The sequence below is a fragment of the Homo sapiens genome, chromosome 18 (assembly GCF_000001405.40).
Source record: "Homo sapiens chromosome 18, GRCh38.p14 Primary Assembly".
Lineage (NCBI taxonomy): Eukaryota > Metazoa > Chordata > Mammalia > Primates > Hominidae > Homo > Homo sapiens.
The window spans coordinates 14,933,825-14,941,527 of NC_000018.10; the positions used below are offsets into that span (position 1 = coordinate 14,933,825).

Genomic DNA, 7,703 nt, shown 5'->3' on the forward strand with positions numbered 1-7,703 from the left:
GATGGTGAAACATAAAATGAACTTGCCCTTTGTACAGGGCTGCTCTGAAACCTAATTTTTCACAGAAATGAATTGGTCTTGGCCCTGTCTCCTCTCAGACTCCAGGCTCTTTTCTAACCCTTGTCAGCTTCTCTTCTCTAAACGATGTCTCAGGGCCTTGCCCGCCTCCCGCCTCTGGATCGTACCCCAGACCATCCTTCCTCCACCTCAGAGCCCCTCTGGAGCCCTCTCTGCTTTGCATTCCACCCTGGGCAGCCATAAAAAGCAAGCAAGGGGTCCACCCACAGCCTCACTGCAGGGCAGGCGCCCCAGGCCCTGGAGCAGGTCTGCTGACTCCACTGCAGGCTGCTGGGCTGGCTCCGCCAGGCTTGGTCTCCTGAGCCTGGCCTGGAAGGCAGGCAATGTGTGCCATGGGCTGCAGGCAGGGGCCATGCATGGGCAGGGGCGTGTCAGTGCCTATGAGGCAGGTGCTGGCCAGCGAGAGGCAGGCCCGAGGGGAGCTGGGGAGTTCGATTCCTCTCCTTTCCCTCACCTGTCCTGACATGGACATACTCACAGCAGTGACACTTGCTACCCGGCAGTGATGGCACACAGGTCTGCCCGCCCTGCCTCCCCACCTCAGTCCACTGCTCCTCCTTCCTGTTTCCCTGAGGCTGCACTCATTAGTAAGTTGGTAGCACTGAAGCTTCTGCCTCAGGTTGCACTGTTAAAAGACCCTGGATGAAGACATAGTACTCTGAAGCCAGGAGCCACCGATGCATCAGAGGGAGTGGGATGAAATGCACTGGAGAGGCTGTGGTGGAGTTGGTATCCATGCCAGGCTAGGGCATCTGGGGCTGGGTCAGGGAGGGGCTGGCATGGACACTGAAGCCTGAACGTTGGGAATATTCAAGGAGGAATAGCAAGAAGGGATCCGGAGCCAAGAGCAGCCAGAACTGCTGAAACAGAAGGCATCTGGGAGCAGTCATGGGAGACGCTGGCACAGAGCTGGCTTTTGGTTCCTGGAGTGCAGGCATGCGGCTGCAGGGGCTGCAGGAGAGAGAGGGGTGTGCACAGGTAGCCCAGCACATCCTCCTCCCTCTACCACACACACACACACACACACACACACACACACACACACACCCCATCGTGTCTGCAGTCAGTACAGATGCCCTGCACCCTCCCAGGCCCCCTCACAGACAGGACTGCGCTCTCAGGGACCCTGGGCTCAGGCCAACCCACCCCACTTAAGTGGAGACTTTAAAATAAATGAACATATTGTTAGCATGGTTTCCTCCTGTTTGAGCATTATAGCATGCTAGTCTCATGAATCAGACCTGATTAGCACAGCCATTGTCATAGCCTGGGAGGGGTACCTCGAGGAGGCATTCAAAGGTAGACTCATGAAATGGAGAGGGGTATGTAAGAGCAGCCATGGCTTCCTGTGCTGCTAGGACACTTTCCTCACTTAGAGGATGAGCTTTCCAGCTAGTTAGCTTTCCGGTGTATTCTTTTTCACAACCAAGTTAACCTGGAGCAGAGACAGCCCTGGGCCTTTTGTGGCTGCTCCTCCAGAAGGTCGCCTGTCCACAGACTACTCCCTGGCCCTGAGAAGCAGTGATTCAGGTAAAAATCATGTGCATCCAGCAGCCCAAGGTGGAGTCATACTCCAAGCTCCTTCCCTACGGTGGGCCTGACACCTGCAGGCCACCACTGACAGGGGCAGAGGCTCTGCTGTGGTGTGACAGGTTTATGTGCAATTACTAGTTCTGGTCACCTATTTTTCTTCTTGCAAATGTGTGTGTGTGCATGCATGTGTATTTATATGTGTGTGTCTCTGGGTATGGTATGTGCATGATGCTTGCATACGTGTGTGCATGTGGGTATATGTGTAGTGCATGCATATGTGTACCTGCATGCACACGTGTATGTGTGCATCTGTATGCCTATGTATGTGTGCACGTGCATGCACAGTGCATTCTGCACTACCACTGCCTTTTATGTATTTTGGCTGCACACAGAGACTGTCTCAAGGATGTTCCTTGTGTTACCCCAGGGAGTGCAGCCTGTGAAAGGCAGTGTGAGAAACACCCTCCTCTGTACACACAGCTCCTTTCCTTTACCTTCAAACTTGCACTTAAGGAGTGAACTCTTGAAAATAAATTCTTTGCTTTGAAAGGTGAAACCAGAAAGAAAGGCAGTCAATTGCTGTTGTCTTCTTCTAAAGCAGCTGGCAAAGCCTGGAACCTGAGCGCTTGAAGAGCCTGAGTGTGGGTAGGCTGCAGTGTTGCAAGGGAACATTCCCAAATAGAGCACAAAACACCACTGAACCTTTCCCTTTCCTTCTCCTGGGCCCAAGGCATGTCTCACAGCTTATGGACCTAAGAGTTGCAAAGTTCTTCAGGCTGTCAAAAAGTCGACACTGTGAAAGGACTGTCTGTGTTGGAGGTGTTTCCCATCCTTCATGTTCAATTTCCAGAAACAAAAGTATTTACTGTGTGAGATTTTTGAGGCTGCCAAAGGTACATCTAACAGCTTCTTCCATCCTCCCTCCTCCACCTTCCTCCCTCTTTGCTTGCTTCCTTACTTCCTTCCTTCCTCCCTCCCTCCACAAACGCATCCTAAGCCCTGCAATCTGCTGGCCCAGCAATCCACATTTATGATGCTGGGGATAGGGTGGAGAAACGAGAGGCAGTGCCTGCCCCCAAGGACTTTGTACCTAGGGCGGAGGGTAGGGAGGGATGTGAAACAAACATATAATTAGAAATGATAGTCCTTGCCTTGAAGAGGGACACCAGGGCTGTGAGGGAGACTCACAGGCAATTCTCATCTAGGCTGTGGGGCAGACAATAAGAAACAACCTCTCTGTGTGAGTAGCACTCCATTCTTTCCTCAATCAACGTTCTTCCACCATTTCCTGAAAGCCTACTGCTCTAGGGGCTGGAGAAACAGTAGGGATCAGAGTAACTGAGGCTTCACATCTGCAAGGATGCTATTTTTCAGAGAACAGACACAGACAGTAAGCAAGACGGGGCCAGGCTGGGAGCCAGCAGCCCTGGGCTGAGATTCACAGAGGCTGGCTGGAAAATCATGATGGGAAGGCATTCAGAGGACATGTTTTCTCCTCTTTGCACACTTTCTACCTCCAGTCCTGGGCTCCAGGCTGGGAGAAGAGAACTAGGACCCCGCTGGGTCCCCCATTATGAGACTGAAGGACTGCAGAGCCCAAGCTGTGCTGGTAGTGACCAACTGAAGACCCTAAGTCCATGACCTGGGAACATACTGGTCATGAGCCTCATGTCACTGTGCAAAGAGCTTACTCCCTACAGCAGGGACCTCCCATGACATAAGGTGAATACATCATTGTGCTTGCCTCCTTCAGCACTTTGGTCATGAGTGTAAAGGAAAATGAAAAGAAATCTCAGAACCCCTAACTTCTAGAGACCGAGTCACAAAACACCACCAGCTTTTTCCCAAATAAACAACAGTTACTTTACAAGCTGGTGTCCAAGCATTCCACACTCAACAAACTGTGGCAGGAGAACAGGGAGTTAGAGTAAACGGGGGTTCAGCAGGTGTAGCCAGTTCATATAAGCAAAAGAACAGCAGGTGCCGCCGGTTTGTATAAGCAGGAGAGCAGCAGGGGCTGCATACAGGCCACGTCCTCCCGCCCATGGTAACAAGCCACTCCAGCCTCTGATGGACTGCAAGCTGGGTCTCCACTGCAGCCTCTGATGGGTCGCAGGCCAATCTTTCATGGGGTGTAGCCAATTGGAGGCCTCTAAAGGGCATGGAGGGGTGTTGCCAGGTTCCTCGAGCTTAATAAAACCCCTAATTAAGGAGGCTATTGACCGCTTGCTCGAGCCGGTTCCCGCTCTGTGAATTGTCCTCAATAAATCTGTGCTTTTGTTGCTCCGTTCTTCTGTTGCTTTGCCTTTCGTTGCTTCGCCTTTCGTTGCTTCATTCTTTTGTTACTTTGTGTGTGCATTTTGTTCAGTTCTTGGTTCAACACTTCAAGAATGTGGACAACTTTATCTTGTAACAAAACCCCATAGAAAAGCAAAGGCCCCTGGCGTCTCTGGGTGACTGCCCCCACAAACTGTTCCTTGCTGGCCTGGAACCGTTTCAAGATGTACATCCTCCCATCAAACAAGGATATGTCAATGGTAACTTCAGGTCTGCAATCCAACCGCTGCTCCTAAAACTAAAGTCTTTTCCATTCCGCACTGATGATGCTCATCTTCCCAGGTATGAAACTGACGAGATGACCCATTCTTCTGCCTTCACTCCTCTCCCTACATGCCTTCCCCAACTTAGGAGGAAATGCATAAACACCGAGTCTCAGTCACACACACAACCGTGGCTGGTGTTTCCTGGATGTGCCCTCAGCTCTGGCTGAATATACCTCAGCTGATTGAGACTCTTGCCTCAGTCACTCATTTTGGATTAAACAAGAAAATAAATGCAAAGGTGTTTTAGAAAATTTAAAAAGTGGCTTTAGAAACTAAGTATTCTCTTCTTTTCCCACAGAACACAGTCTCAACAGAAGAAGGATGAAATGCTCCCACGCTTGCCGCCCTCTGCTCTTTTACAGGTCTTGAGTTGTCGCTGGCCTTCCTGATCACATCTTCCACCCCCAACCCATATTCCCTTTCTCCTCTTCAGGCATCTTGGCTGGCCATGGCCCTCAGTCCTCTACCTGGTAGGGGACACAAACTTTCATTCCGGAAGGGTCTGAGACATTCATAGTTCATCTGGACTGGCTATTTGCAGTTTTCAACTGACCTCAGTCACAGGACATGGCAGTACTAATAACAGACAGGACTTGGGGGATCTCTTCTTGAACCTCGCTGACCAGATGTTTAAAATATTTAGTGTTGTGTTGAACATGGGGAGTCGGGCTAAAGGGCACCCATGAGGCGTAAGCATATTGAAGATGACTGTAAGAGGGGGACAAGATGCTCACCTCCTGTTATTAGTCTTGATGCGTGTGGGACTGGACAAAGCAGATTTAAATTGAAGCAAGATAAACTTGGATCAGACAAAAAAGGGAGTCTTAAAGAAGAGCAGATTTAGGTTCTGCAGGGTATAATAAAGACAGCTTTCATTTCCCCCCCAGGAGAAGATCAACAACAGGAGACAGAGGGACCCCTCTAGAGGCAGGAGGAAAGATAAATGGCCACAGGCTGCTGTCATCTAGGCCAGGGTTCTGGCAGCAATGAAAACACGTCTGCAGGAGGAGAAAGAAGTGCTTTTGAATCCATCTTACTCATCGTCTGTCTCTTGTCTCTTCAAAGTGAATGCAGTTGGAAGGAAAGGGACAGGTTGGTTCTGTGCTTTGCCCAAGTAGGTCCAAATTCTGTTTTTTTTCAGGATGTAGCAGGGTGAGCTGTTCTGACAAACTTGATCTTAGCACAACAGGGGCAGTAAGGTCATCATCCCCACCAGTCCTTTGCCCTAGGATTACAGGACCTGCCCCCAGAGGGACAGGAGCTCATCCTACACTGTCCCAGTGTTTCTGTGAAACACCTTAGCTCCCTGGCTGATTCCCCAGTGGCTCAGGGGCCCAGGGAGCCTCCTCACACCCAAGGTCCCTGTCCCCAGGTGTGGGGGATCCCTATGTATGACATTGTGGGTGACTGGGACTCCTCACTGAACAGGATCAGTAAAGGGCCTGCCTGGCTCTAGGCACTCATTCAGCTGCACTGGAATTTGGAGAAAGAGGCTGCAGAATACACCCCTAGCCCTAATTAGGAAAGAAACAGAGTGGTCTTGAGTCAACTCCTGAAAGCTGTGTGTGCCCTGGATCAATGGCCCACGGGACATGTAGAACAGAGGCAGGAAGTCCCACTGTAAATGGCAGACTTCAGTTTCCAGGACTTAGATTCCACTGGGAAGCAGCTGTCCAATTCACAAAATTGTCAGTGATCAAAATAAATATAATAAAGTAGTTCATTTTAAGCAATGCAAAGAAAGCTGAGTGGCAGATAAAGCTAAAGATGAGCTCCAGATGCCACCAGGCATAGCACGTGGAGGGACTGCATACCCGCGTCCAGCGTAACTTACAACTCCTGGAATGCTGGGACTGTGCAGTGTTAATTCTAATGGCCCATGGAGGCATAATTAATTAACCTTTCAGTTACTCTGGGCACTGCCCTTATCCAAACATAAATATGTGTATGCCGGGAAAATTTTGCAATATAGAAAGCCGACATCGTTGACTCCTTATTCATAGGCAAATCCAGTGCTTTTCAATTTTGACTGTGCAGCAGAATCACCGATGGATTTTATTTTTAAAATAGGGGTACGTATGTCTCATCTCACCCAGGGTGAGGTCCATGGATCTAATGTTATGAAGCCCACAGTGGGTCCCAAATCCCAGCTGAGCTCCAGGACTAGGAATGTCACCCAGCCTCCCTGCTGTAGAGCTGCACCATGGCTTTCGTTCTTCCCGTGGTGGAAACAAAGCTTGCCTAGAGTTTCTGGATGCAGCATCTCTCCGAAAACAAGCTGGGGCTCTGCCGCCCTCACTGGAGCACAGCCAGTGCTGTGGAGCCCCCAGAGTGGCCACAGGGATAGAGGGGACTTAAAACTGAGTAGGGGGCAACAGAGTTGGGGGTCTATCCACCACATGTGGACACACAGCAAGTCAGGCATGTGGGAAGGAGGGAACAGCAGCGTGGAATGGAAATGGCAAATGTTCATCCAGCCAGGTGTTATTTTATTTATGGCTTCTGGGGAAATGGGATGAACAATTTCAGAACAGCCTTGGGTTGAACTTGATGCTGCAAATGGAACTTAATTGCTCAAATAATGTCATATCAATTTCATATAAATGATAAAGAAGGAAAGTCCCTCTTTCTAGAGAGAAAACTCTCCTGACGGCATCAGGCTGTCCTGGGAAGTCACTGCTTCCCTTTTCTGTTGTGGGGCATAACGGGAGATGAAGCTGGGAATTGACAATCTCTTTTTTCTGCTGGACTGAAACCTCCTGGAGCAGAAAAATAGTTTTTTATTTTGCAAATGAAAGTCAAAGATGTGGCAGGAGTTGAGGGTGGGCATTGCAAGAGCTAAATCCGGTGCTTCTGACAGCCCAGCCCTAGTGAGAGGCCCCTTCTGAGAGTCCCAGGGACTCTTATGTAAATGAAACTCAAATAGAGCTCCCCACAGCACCTGAGCTTAGGGTCACCAGGCTCTGGGACTCTGTATGTGCTCCCAGGAGATTCCATCCCCAGGATAACACTGCAGGTCAATTTGTGCTTTTCCTACCATGCAAACCATACTCTGGTAACTGTGCAGGATTCTAAGAAATAAACTTATTGAACCAAAGTATTGTATAACTTATTTTAAGTTATATATTTTTCCTTGTCATTAGTAACCAAAGAATAATTATTCTGCCATTTTTAATTACAGTGTGTGCATATAGAAAGTATTTCTTTCTTTTTTATTAGAGAATGTGTGCTACATACCTTTAGGCTCTACCTTCCAAACTGAGTGGAAGGCAGGCACGCTCCCTCTTCACCCGGTAATAGCCCTTGGAGTACAGATTTGGTGTCTAGGAGAACATCCCAAGTCTCTGGCATGTGGCGTCACCACCCTGGGGAGTGGCAGTGGCTCTCCTGCGTGGAGCACTCTGTGCAGGCTGTGCCCCTCCCAGGCAGGGCAGGCATGCTGCATTCAGAGCCTGTGAGACACTCCCCAGGGCTGGTCGGAAAGCAGCT

The 7,703-nt window shown here is 49.7% G+C and overlaps 1 protein-coding gene across 1 annotated transcript in view; it reads left to right on the forward strand.

Annotated features, from left to right (window-relative positions):
• The window catches only part of ANKRD30B (ankyrin repeat domain 30B), a 192,964-nt gene extending 185,653 nt beyond the window's left edge, over positions 1-7,311 (forward strand). Inside the window, exon 49 of the transcript XR_007066151.1 lies at positions 5,102-7,311. The gene's annotated coding sequence lies outside the window, so the exon portion shown is untranslated. The remainder of the gene's footprint in view (positions 1-5,101) is intronic.
• Positions 7,312-7,703: the final 392 nt, after the last annotated feature.